At 39.9% G+C, this 23,303-nt stretch overlaps 1 long non-coding RNA gene across 1 annotated transcript; it reads left to right on the top strand.

The window, feature by feature from the left end:
* The first annotated feature begins 15,853 nt into the window (after window positions 1-15,853).
* LOC124904099 (uncharacterized) lies at window positions 15,854-18,511 on the top strand. Its single transcript, XR_007065976.1, has 2 exons — window positions 15,854-15,908; window positions 18,377-18,511. It is a non-coding gene; the product is annotated as an uncharacterized LOC124904099 (long non-coding RNA).
* The last annotated feature ends 4,792 nt before the right edge of the window (window positions 18,512-23,303 follow it).

Here is a 23,303-nt window from a genome sequence, read left to right on the forward strand (position 1 = left end):
AAACCTCAATTCTTGTCTTCTGCGTACCCTCAGGACAAACACCACGTGGAAGCTGCCAAGGCTAGAGACTTGCACCCTCTGAAGCAACAGCCTAAGCTGTACCTGAGCCCCTTTTAGCCACAGCTGGAACTGAAGCAGCTGGGACACAGGGTGCCATGTTCTGAGGCTGCACAGAGCAGGGGTGCCCTGGGCCAGGCCCACTAAACCATTTTTCCCTTCTAGGCCTCTGAGACTGTGATGGGAGGGGCTGCTGTGAAGGTCTCTGACATGCCCTGGAAACATTTTCCCCATTGTCTTGGTGACTAACATTCAGCTCCTCATTACTTATGCAAATTTCTGCAGCTGGCTTAAATTTCTCAATTTGTCTTCTCTATTGCATCATCAGGCTGCAAATTTTCCAAACTTTTGTGCTCTCCTTCCTCTTGAATGCTTTGCTGCTTAGAAATTTCTTCCGCCAGATATTGTAAATCATCTCTCTCAAGTTCAAAGTTTCACAGATCTCTAGGGCAGGGGCAAAATGCCACCAGTCCTTTGCTAAAGCATAGAAAGACTCACCTTTGCTCCAGTTCCCAAGAAGTTCCTAATTTCCATCTGAGACCACCTCAGCTTGGACTTCATTGTTCATAACACTGTCAGCATTTTGGTCGAGACCATTCAACAAGTCTCTAGGAAGTTCCAAACTTTTCCACATCTTCCTGTCTTCTTCTGAGCCCTCCAAACTGTTTTTAAAAACAGCCTCTGCCTGTTACCCAATTCCAAAGTCACTTCCTCATTTTCAGGTATCTTTATAGCAGCACCCCACTCTTTGTGGTACCAATTTACCATCTTAGTTTGTTCTCACACTGCTATGAATAAAGTCCTGAGACTGGGTAATTTATAAGAAAAAGAGGTTTAATTGGCTCACAGTTCTGAATGGTTGGGGAGGCCTCAGGAAACTTACGTTCACAGCAGAAGGCACTTCTCTCTCCTGCTGTCCTGTGAAGAGGTGCCTTCTGCCATGACTGTAAGTTTCCTGAGGCCTCCCCAGCCATGCAGAACTGTGAGTCCATCACATCTCTTTTCTTTATAATTTACCCAGTCTCAGGTATTTCTTCACAGTAGTGTGATAATGAACTAATACACCTTTTACTATGCCTACAAATGCTTGGGATAGAACAGAATTGGCCTCTCATTTCTCCTTCAAATGCCTTGTAATAATCATGACTGCCCCCCAGATCTCTTGGACTTATGTCAATAAACTTTTTTTCTTTCACAGTGAAAAAACAAGGCCAAGTGACTTTTTATGACTTGATACACTGGGGTAGTATTAGAAATGAGACACTATCAAATGCTGCAACTTTCTGATACTTGTCCTACTTTGAAATGCAGGAATGTGGAAGAATGTTAGATATACATGTTCTCATTCAGAACCTCCCTTTGTAAAGTCCTGCCAATATCCCAGGGTGCATAATTTACAGTCAAAATGGACACTGAGGTGAGTGTAGATACTATGCTTGGGCAGTAATATGTGCAAGACTGTTAACTGTTAGGAAAACCAATACCAGAACACCTGAGATTCCAGGAAGCCCCATAAAGCTACATTTCTTTAATTGTTCTTGCTGCTATTTGAGTAATTTCCTGCCTTTGCTGTCACTCTTCCCATTAAGGGTTTATTCTTCAAAGACAAGGCCTCTGGGAACATCACCCTACCCCTTTTGTGGCTCCTCCCCATTGTTTCTTGGGCCAGATGGTCAGAGCTGACTTTACTACAGTGTGTGAAAATATCAGGCTATAACTCTCCTGTTGAGTAAGGATGCGCCTGCACTCATTACTCAGCTCAGCTCCGGTTGCTGCAGGGATAGTTTCATCATCCTCTGCATTTCAACTTCCTATTCCATGCTATCTACCACCCCCTCCACTACCCTTTCCTGCCTCTTAAGTGAGAAATCTCTCTTATGCTCTCCCTTCATCCTCAGCTATCAAAGACAAACAAGAGTCTTTCTAGATGAATCTCAACTTCGTAGGCTGTGTCTCTGCAAGACAGCTCTCCTCAAAATAAAATAATTCTTGACTTGGAAGTTTCTCTGTGTTATACCCCCAGGATTTCCAGACATAGAGTTTTCCTTTCACGGCATAGACCCCAAGGGGAAAAAATCAAAGAAATATACTTCCAAGATGTTCTTTCTTTCAGTAATTATTCTGCCCTTTGCACTTCTGTCATCAGACAATGTGTGAATTTTTGCCTGCAATTTCTCCAAATCCTTGTAGTTTTTAACCCGCCACACAAGTCATTGAAGTATTTGAATAACAGTTTCCATTTCCATATGATCGTCAATATAAATATGCATATATATATAAAACCTAATTATTTAAACTAAAATTGACACACATGTATAGTTTCTTCTTCCTCTGTCCGTTAAAGAAGACATACTCATGTATATATCTGGGGGGATTTACTTTAAAAATTTTTTGGTTATTTGAATTATAAAAGTAAAAGGTACATGTTTTAACAACTCAAAAGCATAAAAGGCTCTACAATCAAATTAATGGTCTTATGTCTTCCTCCTCCAGTCCCACAGTGGGAGGTATCCAGTGACTTAGTATACACAAATAGATGAATACAAGTAATGTTTTTACTCAAAATTTGAAAATACCCTACCTTTTATTAGTCTTTAACTCTGTTTTTCACTAAATGATGTATCATGACTATTTTTCTTCATTAATATATGAATTTTCACATTTCTGTTGTTTTAAATTACTTGTTTTAAGAGTAGATAAACTATGTAAAGAATATCTAGCCAGGAGCGGTGGCTTGTGCCTGCAGTTCCAGCTACTCAGGAGGCCGAGGTAGGATGGCTTCAGGCCAAAAGTTTGAGAACAGCCTGGGCAACATAGTGAGACTCTAAAAAAATTATCCAAAAAAAATTAGTGGGTGTGGTGGCACACTCCCATAGTCCTATCTACTCAGGAGGCTGAGGTGAAAGAATCATTTGATCTCAGGAGATTGAGGTCTACAGTGGGCTATGATTGCACCACTGCACTACAGCCTGGACAACAGAGCAGGATTCTGTTTCTAAAAGTAAAAAAATTAAAGAAATAAATGTATGGTCTAATGAGTCGACTAGACAAGGGATTGAAAAATTTCCTCTTGCCTGGCCAGACGTGGTGGCTCACGCCTGTAATTCCATCACTTTGGAAGGCTGAGGCGGGCAGATCACGAGGTCAGGAGATCGAGACCATCCTGGCTAACACGGTGAAACCCCGTCTCTACTAAAAATACAAAAAGTTAGCCGGGCTTGGTGGCGGGTGCCTGTAGTCCCAGCTACTTGGGAGGCTGAGGCAGGAGAATGGTGCGAACCCAGGAGGCGGAGCTTGCAGTGAGCCGAGATCGCACCACTGCACTCCAGCCTGGGCGAGAGTGGGAGACTCTGTCTTAAAAAAAAAAAAAAAAATTTCCTCTTGCCTTCCCTCCAGTTAATGCTCTGAAAGAGATTTGGACAGTGTGCTAAAGGAAGCACATTCCCTCTTTATATTTACTGCTAACCGTGGATTCCAATATTGAGAGGCAAAGATCCCTCTGCTTGACTTGTTTAACCTTGCCTTGGCTCATCCCATACTAAATTCTCTATATCCCAAATCCAGTTTCTCTATAGTGGTTATATCAGACAAAGTATTTCAATGGTTTTCAGGTACATCACATACTGGGGAGTGAGGAGTTTGGGCTCAGAGTATGCTGAGTTTGTGGTTCAGATCAGTCACATCACTGGGAGAAGGAAGCCATTTGGGTTAATTTGGGTCTCAAGAAACACAACCTTTGGCATCTGCATAAATTGAAGCCCTTTTTAGGGAGGCAGCTGGGTATCTGATGGATTTCTAAAATAAGAGTTCCATTAACAAGGTTGCTGTGTTGTACTGTTATGTTAGCAATTATCACAGAGGAAGTTAGTCTGGGATTAGGACCAGATTTTCCAAAGTGGGACTTGTAAACACTATGGAAGTAGACTTTCCTGTTGGTGATAGAAAGATTGACATTTAACAGCAGCCTTTTGTGCAGCACCAACAGGTCTGATTATCCTGATATTTGACCAAGTGTGTAGGTTGATTCGATTATGGTTTAGTGGATGTCTTGATTTTCAGCTCACCAAGAGCTAGCTATAACCTGTGGGTCCAAAAATTTAATTTCTAATATGTTTGTGCTGCACTAGCCTATGCGGTATTTGTAGGTGAGGGGAAGGTTCTAGATTGTGTTAACTATTTAAAATTAAAGAGGAAGATCATAACACAGGCTAGTCATGGAAATCCCAGTCCTGTCACCTCAAATAGGCTAAAAGTTCTCATGAAACCAATTTGTACTTTTTATTCCAGAAGAATTTATGCTCCACTTCAGAATTTAAAAATTAAGCAATGGGTGTATTCACTAAATATTGGAAATAAGAGAGTGCACACATTATCTTTTTCCAAACTCAAATTGAATGAACTAAACCTTATTGAGTTGAAGAAATGGTCTCTTAGTTTCAAACAGGACCTAATATCTGGAACAGATTAAAATGGTAAGAAGCTTAATGTTGTTTACTTTTGAGCCAACAAAATAAAATATTGGTGGAAAACAACTCTATTACCCAGAAGAGAGAGAAATGGGAAAGATTTCCAATTAGGTCAACTCCCAAAGAACGTTTTGACCTTACCTTATTAACTTATCCTGGACCACAAAAGGAGAGCTAAAAGCTGTTAATAACAATAGTTATCATGTTAGCATTAATGAGGTAAACTTTTGATGTTATTCGGTGCATTATTAAAGAAACGCTCAGATATCATTTTGTTTCAAGCTGGCTGATTATCTTCAAAACCAGATTTAAGACGTGCTGAGAGAGTTTAGCAATGTACAAAAATCGTCTATAATTAGTCAGTTCTTTCAAAGTGTTGTGGAATAAACTTAGAGACACATGGTGAAACATAAGGTTTAATATGGAGCAGAGTCTAATTTGAAGTCAGTCTTGATGCATGTGTAATGAAAATTATTCCTAATGGTACTCACAAACCACTGCAATTAATAATAATATCAAAACCCAATGGACATGCTCTTTTGCTGGGTGATGTAAGTAATAACATGGACTGCTATTTGTGATCACAGTGAAACTGGGCTCCACAAACCGATGATTATGTTGGCAGCTTATCCTTGGAGTCTCTTACTGCTGCAGGAAACAAGAAAAGTGGTGAGGAAAGACTGAGAAATGTTTTCATTAGCAGTGAGTCTCATGAAAGTCTGTAACTTTCTCCAACAAGATGACACTAAAAGACATCTCAGTGACCCTGGATATTGTGATATAGCAGCTCAAATATTGAGGTGGGTATGAACCAACAAAATACCAAAATAAGGTTTCCAGAAAAATATTAAACGGATAGTAGATATGAATAGGAATGTGACATACTTTCTATAAATCCTAATAGTATAGAAACCTACAACTGTTTTCTAGACTTCCCTGCCTGTGTCTTCAGCTTTTCAGTTTCGCTCCTTCCTCTCAACCTGTGAAAATGTTTGTTTTTAGAGCTTCTGTTAGGATAATTTATTTGTAGAGCTATTGCTTTTATTCTTTCCTATCATCCTTAAATGTCTGAAAGATTAGTATGCTTTTGTTATATGTATTTCCTTATCTGTATATTTTTGAATTGGCTAAAATCTATGTTTACAATGAAGTCTCTTGCTCAAGTCACCAATGACTTCCTAATTTCCAAATGCCAAAATCAGTGAGTGCCCTACATCCTCATCCTCTTTGATCTCTAATGTACTAACAATATCATGGCTTCTTTGAAAAATCCTCTTTTCCTTTGAATTTTGGAGAACTTTTCCTTTTCCTTCTGGGTCTCCTCCTATCTCTGGTTCCCACCCTTTTTTATGTGGGCTTCCCTTCTTCTTCCTTAGACGTCAACATTCCAGTAGGTTCCGTCCTAGCTTTCTACTCAGCCATTAGGAACAGGCTCACTCCTTCCATGGGTTTAACAAATACTAATTTCCATCCCATGATTCCCAAAGTTCAACGACCATTTATACGTTCAACATTCATCGATCAACTTTTGTGTGATAGGCAATGGAGAGATAATGAACAGGACAGGGTATCTGACTTATGGACCTCGAAGTTCAGTGTGGAAACAGATACAAACAGAGGGATAAAGGCAGAGACATAAATGGAATTATGCTTAAAGAACTACGTGAACACAGAAAAACACCTTCTTTTAGCTTCCATCTCCCTTTTAATTTCACATGTATATTTCCAACATCTTTAATTGAATATTTCTCAGTCGCCACAAACTCAATATGCTGAAGTGAGAATAATGAGTTCCTCCATCCCACACTCACCCAATATCCCAAACCCACATCTTGTACTGTATTCCCTATATTGGCTAATACAGTGATAAAAACAATACATGCGCTTGTCTAAGCTTGGAGTTCTGTAATCTTTTTCATCCATTTCTTCTTTCTCATTCTTTACATTCAAATAGTTATCTCCTAAGTACCTCTCAAATCTATTTTTTCTTTTCTCCTTTTCATATTTTCTATCCTCTTCTCATTTTGATTTCTCTTCTTCTCTCCTATGTTGTTCAATCTTCTTAATGGCCTCTTTGTCCCCCAAATCTTCCTCTTCAACTCAAATTATCTTTAGAGTTAACATTTTAAATGTCAGGATTGTTTATGTTGTTATGTTGACTAGGAAGCCCAGCTGTGACTGCTGTACTTTTAGATGTCTCCATACTTTTTGCAGCCAACGAGGCCCAGGGCATGTAAGAGACCCTACAAGTCATAGCACTTTCTATCTTCTTCTGCATTCCCTAGGACTGATTCTACTTTATAAAACTGGACTTCCTTTTGGGCATTTCTCATTTATTCTCAATATTTCTGCATAATATTTAGTATCCCCATAGAACTAAGCCCATTCATGAACCCCAGATATTTTTTCCTTATTATTCTACCTATCACATCCATTTTGTTCCTCTAGCCATGTAGTCACCTCAAAAATCCTTTGTTGAGCTCCTCTGAGGTACCATCCATTATACTAGGCACCGGGGATATAAATGTGTATAGAATCAACTCCTAGCCTTAGAAGACTCAGGATCTCATGGGGACAAAATGTTCATTTAAAAAAATAATTTCAATACTTCACATGTAAAGAATTGGTAAAACAGGAGAATGCAAAAATATACAAAATTAGAGGGACTGTCATTCTGTGTTTTCCAAATTCCCTACAATGACCCTTTATTACACTTGTAATTACAAAAGTGATCAACTCACAAAATGAAATCTCAAGATGGCATGTGGAGTACTTACAAAATTCTCCATAGAAATTCTTTGGGAATAGAAAATATATGAACTTAAAGCGGCTACTTTTTAGCCAAATAAAATAAAAATTCAAAGTGTAAGTTTCTATGTAGACTTTATCTAATACCGTATGTTTTAATACAACCATTACATTTGCTCCGTGAGTGATACACTGGTATCACTTTCTCACTTTGTATCACAAGTAAGAAAGAACCCAGGAAGGAAGCTGTTCCTCATTTACTCTTAGCCTCATATTGCCCCCTTCCCTCTTGCTCTGAGCCCTCAGCAACCTAGATTCTTTCTGTCTTTGGAACCTCCTGTGTCCCCTCTCGCCTCAGGGCCTTCGCACATACTGCAGCTTCCTCTATGTGACGCTCCGCTGTCCCAACACACACCCATGGCTGTGAACTTATGCATACTTTAGGTCAGCTGTTCTCGTGTGTGTGTGTGTGTGTGTGTGTGTGTGTGTGTGAAAACTGGATTGTTCCCCGGAGAATACTTGGAAATGTCTGGAGACATTTTTGGTTGTCACAATAGGTTGGTGGTGTTAGTGTCATCTAGTGGGTAGAGCACGGGGATGTTGCTAAATATCTCCCAGTCCTATAGGATGGTCAGCAACAACAGAAAATTATTTTGCCTTAAATGTCACTACCTCTAAGGTGAGGGAACTCTGTTTTAGGCCACAACTCGGGAGATTTCTTTGCCAAAATTAGAACTCCTTGTCAACCTTTCTCAAAGCACATTGCTTTTCTTCAAAGGACCTCTCTTTGTAATAATGTATCATTTGAGGGTAGAGTCCATGCCTATGTAGCTTGCCATTTTATCCTCAGTGCCTAGCTCAGAGTTAAGTCAACTGAAAATTTGTTTGAAGGAAGAAAGAGGAAAAGCAGGGAGAAGGCAGGCAAAGGAAATAAGACAGGAGGAGAGACCTGGGCTTTCTGAGCCCTTCATCTGTTATAAAGTTACTGATATAAGTCACACATTTTTCCCTCATTTGTAAGTCAGGAATGCTAATCCATTCTGTTTCCATGGGTTGGGTTATATGAGAAATAAATGTGCTTCACTCTGTGATCAATCATAGAAAGCATGAAGAATGGTGGTGAAAAGCCTCTGATGCAGCAATCTGTGCAGAGGCAGATCTGGAGAGAAAGGGGTAGCATAGCTTCAGTCACCGCAGAGAAGAAGCAACAGCAACAGTAGCAACAGTGCTCAGGAGTGAGATATTCATAGACTGGAACCACCTGCACACCCTGGCTGGGATGGCCAAAAACATGGCAGGTACCATCTATAAAGACAAGGTTAAAATCTTTAGGCAGGAGAATAGAAAGCTGATACAACTATCCAAGAAGAAAGAAGAAGCACAAAACGAAAATAAGGGTTACAAACATACAAAACTTCATATAAGCATTTCAGCTTCAAAAAGAGCATTAGGAGACAAGGAAAGAGAGAGGCTTCTATGAGGAGAGAACTCCGAAAGGACTTATTTAAAGGATGATGACCTTGTAAGAAGGTGGAAAGCGTGTGATTAACTTGTATTCCAGTATGGGGGAGGTGAGCCGACCTGGTGAGTCTGTTCCTTGTGAGAGAAGCAGTGGAGTGAGGTCAGGAGAGGGAACTTAGAACACATCTTCCAAAGAACCCCATCATGGGAAGTAGCAGAGCAGGAAAGAGAGCCAAAAAGTTGGCAAAGAATGATGGGCATGCAATGAGATCCACTGTCCTGTGACATTCCCATATTTTGCATAAAGTGGTTGAATAACATGCCTTTCTTATGAATGAATTTCTTGTGGAAAAGACAGAGGACAGAATTTCAGATCTGAGTATGGTGTGGGATAGACCTGTGGAAGCTGCAGGGACCTGGGAGAAGTGGCAGAGAGAGGCCAAAGAATAATAAATAAAATTGTGGGAGGAGGTTTGCAGGCATTGCTCTCAGGTCTTGAGCGTCACCCTCTGAAGATCTGGGGATGTAGGCTTACTCTGGGATAAGGGCAGATATTGAGTGAGAAATTATGCAGTGGGGAGATGGATGTTCAATTACATTGCAACATAATCTGTAGATATAATATGGAACTTTCAGTGAACTCCAGATTGAAAAGGAAACTGAAACTGCTTTTCTTAAAATTGATACATAATATTTTACATATTTATGCGGGTACATGTGATATCTTGTTGCATCCATAGAATGTGTAATGATCTTTGGTGAAAAGGGCCTAGAAGTGTTGGAAATAATTTTTTAACAAGCTAAGAAGAAAGAATCTCTTTTTTTCTTTCAAACAACAAAATGTCATAAAGATATATATATATATATATATACACACATATATGCTATATAAACATAAAATAGCTATATAACCTATTTATATCTGTATCTATCTATATATTTATGTATAATAAACAAAATTGTTATAAAAAGAAAGCACTTCCAAGAAAAATAAAATTTACAATTGGAATAAGATGGGAGCAAATATTTGACATATAAGGCAAAATATAAACCATGCCATGAAAGGAATTTAAACAAAGAGCCCAGGGATTTAGGGATAAGGAGAGGTCAACTCCAGTTTCAATATCAAAAAAGGCTCTCTGTAGGAGAAGTTTTGGAGCTGCCTCATACCTTCCGTCAGAAATTCTATATAGAGACCTCATAAACCTCTCTTTAAAACTCCAAAGGTGAAGAAGATTAGTGTATGTACAGAAACTATTGTTCCAGGAGCTACAAGATGCTACAGTACATTATCTATTTAATATTTACAAGAAACCCATAAGATAGATATTTTTTAACCTCCATTTTACAGATGAGGAAACTAAGGTTTAAATAAGTTAATTAACTTGGCCAACTTCTTGCCCCAGAAGGCAGCAAAAGCCGAAACTGGAATTTAAACCTCTGGATTTCTGGCCCTACCTCAAGGGGTTCCTTCTTAAGGAGCCTCAGCATTTACTAAAGAAGAATTGGGTTAGTAGCAAACTCAAATGAAGTGGGTGCAGATCAGTCATGATCCCCATGAGAAACACAGGGCACAATTAGTTAAATAATTGGGAGTTGAATAAAGGAACTCCTTATAAAGCCATAGGCAACAATATCATGTCATTGATAAGAAATGAATGACAGAGTACCCTGGGGGCTAGTAACAGCAAGATGCCACTCAACCCTAGGCTGAAGGTGTAGGGGAGGGAGTGGTCACCAAGACCTGAGGCAGAGAGCTGTGAGGAAAGGACCACCTGAAGGATGAAACTGAAGGATGCAGCCAGCCAACAATGACCCTGCACGGCGGGAGACATGGGAATAAATATCGTGACACCACATTCCACTCAACAACTGATCTCTTGCTGTGCTCTCCATTGGCCAAACTTGACTTGGCTCAGGGCAGATCTTCAGGAGGCTGCAAATAAAAGGAAGAGGAACATGGGAAATAGCATCACGGTGCCTTGGCTGAGACCATTAGGCTTGATATTGCTATGATTCCTACATACAACAATGAACTTCCAAATTGTCCTGATAGGCTGAGTTTTTCAAGTTAAAGGATTATATCTCATACGTCTTTCTATTCCCAATTTGAACATGAAGCTTAGAATGTTAGCAGGCTGTTAATACATGCTTACTAAATTGACTTGAATTAATAAAGGAATTTTGCCACCTGAGGGTTATCAATCTAAAATGTTTTAGAAATATAATAGTCATCTGGCAGGCGATGCTTCCAAATTTCTCAGATTTCCAGGCTCACTGTAGGACTAGAAACTGAATAAGGAGCTGAAAAAATGTAATTGGATAACTAAGAGATTTTGTGAGTGGCTCTCAAGAATGACCTGTCATTTGTAGACAGAGTTTTTTTTGATTCCTCATGTCATTCCCCGGGGAGGAGGGACTCAGCATTAGTCTCTCAGCTTTAGGGACTCAGCAAAGAAGGCTGACTCAGCATTAATGCATCTATTCACAATCACTGAACATATGCAGAAGAGCAAATATGATGCTGTCAACACCTCCTCATGGAGCAACATGGAAGATTCCAACACAGTGCATGTTGCTGTAAACAGTCCCTCCAAGCAACGTGCAGTGGGCATGGCGTGATGAGCTCTCAGACCTCCCTCTCTACTGCTTAACGTTTTTCTTCCTGGGAAACACTCCTAACCATTCTCACTTTTAATCACAAGCAGCTATGCAATACAATTTTTAAAGTGAGGGAATTCTAGATCCAAAGGATCCCTAAATATATATATATTTTTGTATCTTTTCATCCTGCAGAAGAGGAAACTGAGACCCAACATAAACATCTGTGGAATGCCTGACTGGATAAACCCTCACAGGACCAACATGTTGAAGCCCATCCCAAGGAAATGAAGTGTTCAAAAACCTTTGTCCTCCAAATTGCTCCAGCTAATGAAAAGTGTTGTGCTCAACCAGAGTCTTACTTTTTGGAACCTCAGTTTCCTCATCTTAGAAGATAAGCATCATAGTAACTTTCTCCTAAGGTTATGATACAAATGAGTGAATGGGTATAAGTTCTATAAACTCTAAAATGTAATAAAATTCATTCAGTTATTTACTAATAAGTGAACAATATTTTCTGACAGGCTTCCTCTATTTGGGATTTGAAGATCAGGTTCTTTCAAGGATTTTGCTCCTAAATGTTCTCTTTCTCCTGCCTCATTTTTAAAAAATAAACCTTTTGTTTTAGAATAGTTTTAGATTTACAAAAAAAAAAAAAAAAGGAAGATGATACAGAATTCCCAAATACCCCACATCCTGCCTCATCAATTTTTTTCTCTCTCTGTATCCCTTTGCAATCTGTACACAGACATAAGGGAGAGTGCCTTCCATCTTAAAACAGCAGAGAAATATCTTTTTCCTGGACATTTCTCTTCAATTGATATCCAGTTTCACCCTTCCACTTCACAGCAAAACTACTTAAAGAGGTATTTATCTCTATTAATGGTCTTACCTACTTCACCCCCATTATTTCCATCCTCCACTTTTGTCCCCATGACTCCACTCATGCAGAATTGTCAAAATCCTCCGTGTTGCCTAGACCAGGGGTCACTTCTGTGTCTTTGTCTTATTCAATGTCTCATCAGCATTCATTTCGATTTATTTCTTCCTCCTTCTTAGAAGCCTCTCTTTCCTTGGCTTCTGTGATCCCACAAACTCTTATTTCACTGGTTGTCTTTCTTTAATGTCTTTTGCAATCTATTTCTTCTCTGTGTGCTCTCTGAATGTCAACCTGCCTCTGGGCACGTCAGAACCTTCTTTCTCCCCCTCTTTCTATTCAATTCCTAGAAGATCTCATTTCATTTCATGGCTTCTATCCACTTTATATCCAATGACTCCCACATTGATATTTCCAGTCGTCATCTCAATTTGGAGGACTGAAATTGTATCTTCACCTACAGACTTTGTATCTCCACTTGGATGTCTAGTAGTTATGTCAAGTTTTATACAGTCAAAACAGAACTCCCTGTCACTCTCTGCTCCAGTCTGACCCTTCCTCAGCTGTACCTCTGTAAATGGTACTATCCAGTGGTCCAAGCTAAAGAGACAGACATTGTCCTTGATTCTTCATTGTCTTGATTCCCTCAAACCTTCACATTCAATCTACCAGCATGTCCCTTCAACCTTACTTCAAACATATTCTCAACCTGTTCACATTTTTTCCATCTCCAACATTCCACTTCACTTTACATCACCAGCCAGCCTGCTGAAATGGCCTCTGAAGTGGTTTCCTTGCTTGCATTATTACCCGCTTCCTACTTTCACTAAACTCATTCTCCACATGGCGGACAGAGTGATATTAAGTTGTTGACCATATCCTGTCACTTTAAACTATTCAGTGGCTTGATAGTGCATTCAAAATAAATCCAAACTATCAAAAATCTCTTGGCCGCCAGGGCCCTCTCTGCATGATCTGGCCTCATTTTCTTCTCTCTCTCAGATCTTATGTCCTATCAGTCTTTTCTTGCACATTAGCCACTCTGGCCTGCTTTATGTTTTGCAAATACAGGAAGATTTTTTCTAAGAGTTTTTCTCTTGCCATTCTCTCAGCATAGCACACTCGACTCCACAAGATTATTCTATGATCAGCTCTTTACTATCTGGTTGGAGAGACTTTTCTTCACTACCTTTTGGAAAGAACCTTCTTCTCCCCTCCCTTCGTTACTCACCATTTCATATCCCTGTTTTAATTTTTTCATTGCACATATCATGGTTTTAAACCTTGTTCATTTTAGAGCAGACATCCATCTGTCTTATTCACTACTTTCCCTGGGGCCTCAACACTGCTAGTATACAGTAAGGTGGTTGGTAGGTACGTGAATGATGAAATGCATAAATGTCTTCAGTGATAGAGATATAGTAGTAAACAAATCTAAAGGCTTGTGATGACTTTCATTATGTTCACAGCAGGGTACTTTTAGTGACCATATGATATGGTTTGGCTGTGTCCCCACCCAAATCTCATCTTGAATTGTAACTCCCACAATTCCCACATGTCATGGGAGGAACGTAGTGGGAGGTGGTTCAATTATGGGGGTGGGTCTTTCTTGCACTGTTCTTGTGATAGTGAATGAGTCTCATGAGATCTGATGGTTTTAAAAATGGGAGTCTCCTTGCATAAGCTCTCTTCTTTTGTCTGCCACCACATGAGACGTGCCTTTCACCTTCTGCCATGATTGAGAGTCCTCCTCAGCTATGTGAAACTGTAAGTCCATTAAATCTCTTTCTATTGTAAACTGCCCAGTCTCAGGTATATCTTTATCAGCGGTGTGAAAATGGACTAAAACAGTAAATTGGTACCAGTAGAGTGGGGTGCTGCTGAAAAGATACCCAAAAATGTGAAAGTGACTTTGGAACTGGGTAACAGGCAGAGCTTGGAACAGTTTGGAGAGCTCAGAAGAAGACAGGAAAATATGGAAACCTTTGGAACTTCCTAGAGACTTGTTGAAGAATGGCTTTGCCCAAAATGCTGATAGCGATATAGACAGTAAAGTCCAGGCTGAGGTGGTCTCAGATGGAAATGAGGAACTTGTTGGAAACTGGAGCAAAGGTGACTCTTATTATATTTTAGCAAAGAGACTGGCAGCATTTTGCCCTGCCCTAGAGATTTGTGGAACTTTGAACTTGAGAGAGATGGTTTAGGGTACCTGGTGGAAGAAGTTTCTAAGCAGCAAACCATTCAAGAGGTGATGGGTGCTGTTAAAGGCATTCCGTTTTATAAGGGAAGCAGAGTATAAGAGTTCAGGAAATTTGCAGCCTGACAACATGATAGAAAAGAAAATCCTATTTTCTGAGGAGAAATTCAAGCCAGCTGCAGAAATTTGCATAAGTAACTGGCAGTTGAATGTTAGTCCCCAAGATAATGGGGAAAATGTGTCCAGGGTATATCAGAGGTCTTCACAGCGGCCCCTCCCATCACAGGCCTGGAGGCCTAGGAGGAAAAAGTGGTTTCATGGACTAGGCCCAGGGTTCCTGTGCTGTGTGCAGGCTAGGGACTTTGTGCCCTGTGTCCCAGCCACTTCAGCTGTGGCTGAAAGAGGCCAATATAGAGCTTGGGCCATGGCTTCAGAGAGTGCAAGCCTGAAACGTTGGCAGCTTCTATGTGGTGTTGAGCCTGGAAGTTCACAGAAGTCAAGAATTGAAGTTTGAGAACCTCTTCCCAGATTTCAGAAGATGTATGGAAATGCCTGGATGTCCAGGCAGAAGTTTGCAGAACAGGTGAGATCCTCACGGAGAACCTCTGCTAATGCAATGCAGAAGGGAAATATGGGGTGGAAGCCCCACACAGAGTCTCTACTGGGGCACTGCCTAGTGGAGCTGTGAGAAGAGGGCCACCGTCCTCCAGATCAAAGAATTATAGATTAACTGACAGCTTATACCGTGTGCCTGCAAAAGCTCCAGACACTCAGCACCAGACCATGAAAGCAACCAGGAGGGAGGCTGTACCCTGCAAAGCCACAGGGAAGGAGCTGCCCAAGACCATGGGAACCCATGTTTTGCATCAGCATGATCTGGATGTGAGACATGGAGTCAAAGGAGATTGTTTTGGAGCTTTAAGATTTGACTGCCCCACTGGATTTTGGACTTGCATGGGGCCTGTAACCCCTTTGTTTGGGCCAATTTCTTCCATTTGGAAGGGCTGTATTTACCCAATACCTGTATCTCCCTTATATCTAGGAAGTAACTACTTGATTTTGATTATATAGGCTCACAGGCAGAAAGGACTTGCCTTGTCTCAGATGAGACACTAGACTGTGGACTTTTGAGTTAATGCTGAAATGAGTTAAGAATTTGGGTGACTGTTAAGAAGGCATGATTGGTTTTGAAATGTGATTACACGAGATTTAGGAGGGGCCAGGGGCAGAATGATATGGTTTGGCTGTGTCCCCACCCAAATGTCATTTTGTATTGTGACTCCCACAATTCCCAGGCATTGTGGGAGGAACCCAGTGGGAGGTGATTAAATTACAGGGGCGGGTCTTTCCTGTGCTGTTCTCCTGATAGTAAATGAGTCATGAGATCCAATGGTTTTAAAAATGGGAGTCTCCCTGCACAAGCTTCTTTTGTCTGCTGCCTTGTGAGACTTGCCTTTCACCTTCCACCATGATTGTGAGCCTTCCCCAGCCACGTGAAACTGTAAGTCCATTAAATCTCTTTCTTTTGTAAATTTCCCAGTCTCAGGTATGTCTTTATCAGCACTGTGAAAACGGACTAATACACTATAGTTTCAAAAACCCACCCATGCAGGTATTTCCAAATTGCCTGGCCATGCAACCTGAAAAGAAGAATGAATTGAATGTTAAGAGTTTTGTGGTTGATTAGTGGATGGGAGGGGGTGACTTTCAGATAATTAAAGGCTCCCTGGATAAGACTGATAGCTTTTAAGGATGTCAATACTATTTATCTACTTGGCAGTACAGAGGCATACAGAGTTCTATGCTGGGAGCACTGCTTAGTGCTTCTCTCAGATTATCTCATTGAAGCATCTCAATAATCTCACAAAGCATCTTCCCATTTTGTAGATAAAATAACTGAGACAGAGGAGAGTCAAGTAAGTTGCAAAAACTTACAAAACTGGTCAATGACAAATCAGAGATTTCAAAGCCTGTTTTCACGCTATTGCATATTTCAATTTTGAGAACTAAGACATATTATCCAGATTATAATAGCAGACAGGTGAACTAATAATTGCAGTCCAGGTGCCAGGAAGTCTAGAATTATCCAAGTTACTTCTATTTTGGGTTGAATCTAAAGTGTCCCAGATATTGGCAAGATGAAGGATGTTTTGTGAGAAACTTAAATGATTATAAACAAGGGATTAGGAATTAAAATGAGCATTCTTCCTCACCTTATTCAACTGAGAGCCTACTATGTGCCAGGTACCAGCTGGATTCTGGGGATATAGTAGCGACAAGACAGACACAATGTCCTCTGGAAGTTTCCTTTTGAAGAAATGAGGGTACATTTAATCTTTCACTTATACCATCCACTTTCAGTTCCTTCATAGCAATTGGGTTCTTAACAGAAATGTGGTATGGTGTCAGCCAGGAATTTGTGAATAAGCTTGCTCCAGAGGTCTCTATGGAGATGCTACTTGATGCAGAGCATCAGCGATGGAATCAAATGGTACCATTCCCAGCCACGCCATCATTGGTTCAGCTTGTGAGTGTGGTTTTCTTTAGTTAGTTAAGCTTGACAAATATTCACTTATAGTGAAGAAAATCTTCCTGATACACTGTAAATTTATTGCATGAGTTTTGGAAATGTTTAGGAATTGGTATTGACAGTCTTTGGTGATTGCATGGATATGAAGGGGATGAAGAAATGGAAGAGTCAAGGATAATTTCCAGGCTTTGGGTTTGAGCAATGGGGTGATTGGCAGTGCCATTTACTAAGAGGAAATACACTGGAAAAGAAACAAAATGTTTTGTTTTTGCTTTATTTTGTCTCATTTAGGAAAAAGATCATGACGTCTGTTTCAGATATGTTGAGATAGAGCTGTCTATAGACATTCAAGCGATGTTCAATAGGCAACTGAATACAGGATGGAATTTCAAAAGAGATTTAGTGAAAATGTCGGGAAATTGTCAATAAATAATAACAGTCACAAAGCTGGAAAAACGTGTCTTTTGAGAAGTGTACCATGGAATTCAGTAATCTATACAGAGGGAGTAGTTTTTGCTATTTAGGCAAGGCATTTTTCATTTTGTGGCTTTTTTTTCTTTTTTGCCTTTAACATTCAAGTTTCTTCCCTTGGGGGAAAAATTCAACCAGAAAAAAAAGCAAAGCAAACAAAAACAAAAACCTGATACTACCTTCCTTATAATATTGCTTTTAAACAAGCTTATCTTGCTGAGTCCTTTCAGCATCAAGTCAAATAATCATTTCCCCCAAGGGAAGAAGGCAAGCATGGAAATTAAATTAAATTCTAACAAAACAAGCCAATGTATTTCCCCTCCACTTATGTGCAATCTGTTTCATCCCAGTTGTGACTGATGCCTCGGATAAAACAGCCATGCATCTGTGACTGATTTACACAGTGTTATGCAACACACACTCTGTTATGATGAAAACTCTTGTTTTCTTTGAATTTTGTGTTGTTTAAAAGGGAGCTTTTTCAGTTCTGCTTTTGCTTGAGAAAAATGGTAGGATGCACGTGGATTTTGAGACAAAAGGTCTAGCTTTATCTCCCAGCTCTGCAGGTTTCCACTGAACAATTTTAGTCCATTCTTTCAGAAATGAGGTAACAATTGCCTTTAGGGGGTTCTGAGACTCACACATGCCCAGTGAAGGAGGGAGCTCATGGCAGATACAGTTAGTTGCCTGCCCAGTGTCTATGCCCCCCCTCTTTTTTCCATTAGAACCCCAGTTTTCTTCAGGACCCTAATAGGCCCAACTCTGAATTTGAGTTTGCCTCTTTGTTGGTTAAAAATGCTCAAATATTGGTTATTTCAAGTGGTTCATTCTCAAACAAATATCTCTTTCTTGCCTTTCTTGCAGCTTATGGTGGCACAGGGTTCTTCTGGTCAATGAGGTATTAGAGGGGGGATGTATGGAGGTGGCCTTTTCTAAATAAAAAAGTGAAGCCCATTTTATCATTCCAGGATATGGACATGATGCCTGGAGGAACAACTGACATATTTCAACTGTGAGAATGAAAATCATGCAATAGAGATGTGGAACAGAAAGCTAGAAGAATAATTCACTCAACAAATAAAACTTTTTACTAATTTAAGCCACAGATTAGTTTAGGTTTTCTGTTGCTTGTAGCTGACTGAAATACTTTCTGATACTGTATTCACAAACTGTTAGTTTATTTTCACCTCCTCCTTTGATAATCATCCCACTTTTTAAAATTCCAAGATGAGTAGGGGCCTGAGGCACGGCTTCCTCTATCATTATTGGAGCAAGTTCAAGCTACTAGACTTACTAGTAGTTCTCAGTCTGCAGAAGATATTTGATGAGATGGCCTCGTCCTCAGAACAATCACTATTGTTTTTTGAGCACACACAATGTGCCAGGCATCATGCTAAGCCCTTTGCATACAAGATCTCATTTAATTCCTGACAACAAGGCTATAGGAAAATAACACAAATCAGTACCCACCTTTTGTAGTAAAGGAAAATCAGGAAGAGAGTTTAAGTAACTTGTTCAAACCAACCAGCTTCTAACAGGCTAAAACGTGTAGCATTCACATGTCTTTCTAGCTGCTGTGTCATAATGTTTTGGTTCATCCATTGTGCTATGACCAGTCCAACTACCAATTTTCTTCTTTGCACAGCTGTTTATTTCATTCTTCTATTCTGCCTTTCTCCATAACCGTGCTGTCAAATAGAACTTTCTGTCATGAGAGCAATGCTCTATATTTGCCCACTTCAAATATAGTAGCTACTAGCCACATGTGGTTATTGAGGACTTGAAATATAAATAATGCAACTAAGGAATTACATTTTAATTTTGTTTAATTGTAAGTGGTTTAAATTGAATAGTCACATGTGACAAATAGCTGCCATGTTGAACAGTGCCACTTTAGAAGACCACAACCAGATGCTGCCCTGGCCAGGGCAAGCCAGGCATTAGGTGCCTGCTCCCAGCTACTCTGCCCTTGACAGTCCTGATATTTTCCAGGAGTAGTGGCTGTCCTCCACAGCCCTTTCTTGTGGAGCTGACTAGAGGGGATCAAGCCTTTCAGCAACATTCATACCTTTCTTCAAACTCAGCACTATAAACATGACAGCATCTGGCTTCCCTGTGTCATGGGCAACCCTTGGAACAGAGGTAAAATATCAAAGTCACTGTGAAATGATGATAATAAATGTGTGACATTTTTATGGGTTACAAAAGGTTATGAGACCATCAGTTTTTGAGGTGAATGATTTATCTAGAGAATGTGAATATTTAAAAGGCACAGGGATAGGAAATAAAAACCAAATGAAAAGTATAAAATCCCATAACACTTTTACCTTTCAAAGCTGGAATATCACCCATAATTTTCCTACTTGCAACCTGGATATTAACCTCACTTTTATTTCATAATTGAGTTCTGGATGGTTTCTGACACTACCAGTTAGGTCCCTGCATCAGGAAGCAATTGATCTACTCAGTAGAATTTCTTAAGAAAACTGTTTGTGTATAGTCAAGTAGTTGGGACAGACACATGGCTATTTACAAACTTCCTTCTAGTGATCAAGTTGTGTAGTGTCTCAGGGCAGAAATGGTGATTACTCTTTTAGTTCCCTAACTGGAGACAGGGGATTAGAACTGTTAGATGTAGGGAAATAGCAAGAGCATGATGTAAGGGTTTAGGAAACCTGGATTTCCACTAAGTTGCTGTTACTTTGGGAAAGTCATTTAACCTCTCTCAACGTGTTTCATCATATAAAAGTCGAAATAATTAAGACGGTTGTTCCATCTTCCAAAGTTTGAATTTTAAGGTGCTGGTGCACCTTGAGATAGAAGCAACACGGTGCTTGGGGTGAGCCGAGGAATATTGAGAGATTCCAGAAATTGTTGCAGTGGCTCGAATCAATCCCCTAAGATGAGGAAACGGAGGAGGACGATCTTGAGGGCTTCTATAACAATAAGTCAGTGGTGAAGATTTGGAAAGAGACAACTAAGCCACAAGAGCAGTGGTGCAACTATAGAAGTTCGCATCCATGGATTCCTGAAATTTCTTCTTGTCTGACGTTGACAAGGGGTGTATTGTCAAAGAGAATGTTTAAAGAAAAGAGAAGAACAAGCACACTGAAAAAAAGTGTGGAGGAGAACAGGGAAGGGAAAGATCCCAGAAGAGAGGAACAAAAGAAGTGAGGTCGCAGAGGACAACTCTAAGAAAAAGAAAATTTGACTTGCTATTATCTGCCATAAGTATCTTTTATCATAGTTCTGGACATACACTAGTTCTGGCCACAGTCTTCACCTGTCTGGATGATTGCAATAAAGTCCTAATTTTTGCCTCTGCTTTTGATCTTGCCTCCTTCATGGCATTCTGCATATGCAGCTAAAGTGATTGTCCTAACACACAAATCTGATGGCCACATCACTCTCTTGCTTAAACTCCTTCGTCAGCCTTCCCAGTGCTCCTCAGAATAAAGTTGAATGACCATCATGATCTGACTGTGTCATATCCCTCTAGCAGTGGTTGACTAATGTTTTCTGTAAAAGCCCAACCAGTAAACATTTTCTGCTCTGAAGGCCAAATGGTCTGTGTGGCAACTACCCAACTCTGCTGTCACAGCGAGAAAGCAGCTTAGGCAATATGTAAACGAATGAGTATGGCTGTGTTCCAACAAAACTTTACTTACAAAAACTGGGACCCTCCTGCAGGCCCAGGCCTTAGTTTACTGACTCCTGCCCCATAGTCTCAAAATCAACTCCCTCACCCAATGCCTTAAATCCCTGTACCCAAGACCCATGGAATGACTTGCAATTCCCTAACCATGCTCTGCTCTCTCTCAATATTGTACTTTTGCACATAATCTTCCCTCAGTCTAGGTCAACTTCCACCTAACTCGTTGTCCAGTTAACCTCCAGTTATTTTGTGATTCCACTTGAACTTCCTTCACCAATCTCACTTGAACCTGTATTCTCACTTATCACACTGGTAGACAATTTACCTGTTTGCATATGTCTCTCATACCTCACTATACCATAGGCTATTGGAGAGACGATACCATATGTTACTCATTTCTGTAATAGCCCCAGTGTCCCTGGCAATGAATGGACAATAAATTCTATTTATCACTGTAAGCACTTAATACTCAAGGTCTGTATGTCTTGCTCTATTGCCTAGCTACAGAATGAACACATGCCACTGACTGGTGAGTAATTGAGTTTAGAAAATTAGAGGCCATATCTTTAACAGTTCCAGTTTCTAGAAGTAAAGAGTTTGATATAAAGCTCCAGAAAGAAGAAACTGAACTTAATTTGGAGCACATTTTAGGAGAAAAGAGGGTAAAGGCACTGACAACATCATCTGACTTTATGAAAGACTATGGGTCACTTAAAGAGATATTGTGAGGAATGCACATAGTAAATTTAGCAGACAGATTTGAAATTTGGATGGACAACAAATGAGCGGTAGCACTGTGACAAGGAGAGGATGCACCTGCCATGTCATTTTCATTAGAAACAGAGAACAGTTTTAGCTGGAAGAGCTGACAGCCAAATGCATGCCAAGTAAATAATCTGCATAGGGGGTGTAAGAATGCAAAAACATTTCCGACACAAAGAACAAGGCCTTGGCAGAGTTTTCTGTGAAAAGAGATTGTGAATAAGCCTCCACGAATGTGAAAATCACCCAAAAGGTTGCCCTAAGAAGAGGAGGAGCAATACTAACATTTTGTTGGGTGACTACTGTGCCAAGTACTATCTTACCACGAATAATCCTCACAAAAACTCTTGAAGCATGTTACAATTTTATGGGGGATAAAAATGAGGCTCAAAGGGCTTAAGCAACTTCTATAGAGCCACAAATCTCCATTCTTTCCAGTACAGTAGCAGATGCAGCACAACCAGTGTCTAGTGTCCAAGAAAGGGAAATGAAAAGAACTAAGGTAGTAAAGCCTGGCCAACTGAGTGTAGCGTGTCTACCTGGATTTGCAAAAGAAAGACAGGAGACTAAAATCTCATATTGGGCACCTACATTTTTATGTTTACCGGCATTCAGTCCCCTTCCTGTTCATTCCCCTTCCTGACGGCACTCCAATTTCCTGTTGGAGAATCACCCAAGCCATTTTGTTTAATCTCGTTGGGGTTGTAAATATAAAAGGCTGCCCCTTTCTTTTCTGTATGGGAGTTTAAGGGATGCCTGGAGGCTATTTCTACCAGATCTTTTCTAAAATCTCCCTGATACCTAGGCTTGGGCAATCACACTCCATCTCTTAGGACTTTAAATATTAAGTGGATAGACATAGGCTAAGGAAATGGCTGGAGTTCATTCCAGCAGCATTTCGAAGATTGATAGTTCCTATCATATTTTAAGCCTATTTGTCCAGCTTCTCCACTGATTCTCTGACTCCTCAATTATCTCCCAGTAAATCTCCATTTTGGGCCAGCGTTGTTTTCTATTGCTGACAATGAAGGATGTAACTTGTTGCCTTGTTACCCAAAACAAACAAACAAACAAACAAACAAAAATAACAGAATTAATGATACACATTCAGCACTAAGATATATGCTTTGTAAAAATTCATCAAACTGTATATAAAAGATTTGTGCTCTTTATTGTATGTTGTAATTCAATTAAAATGTTTACAAACCTACTTCTCAATTACAAAAACAGTAGATGGTTTCCTTAGAAATAACAAGGGAAAAATGAAAACATATGCCATACTATGAGGCAGAAAACTAGGTAAACAGCAAGACAACTAAAAAAATAAGCAAATGTAACAGGAATAAGATCAAATAAATCAATTATGACAGTAATGTAGACAGGATTATCTTTTTTTTACTAAAATCTTACACCCTTGCATTGGGCTGAAAAATCACAATAAACTTTATGCCATCTTCAGGCAATACAAGGAAAACAAC

The sequence above is a fragment of the Homo sapiens genome, chromosome 17, assembly GCF_000001405.40.
Source record: "Homo sapiens chromosome 17, GRCh38.p14 Primary Assembly".
Lineage (NCBI taxonomy): Eukaryota > Metazoa > Chordata > Mammalia > Primates > Hominidae > Homo > Homo sapiens.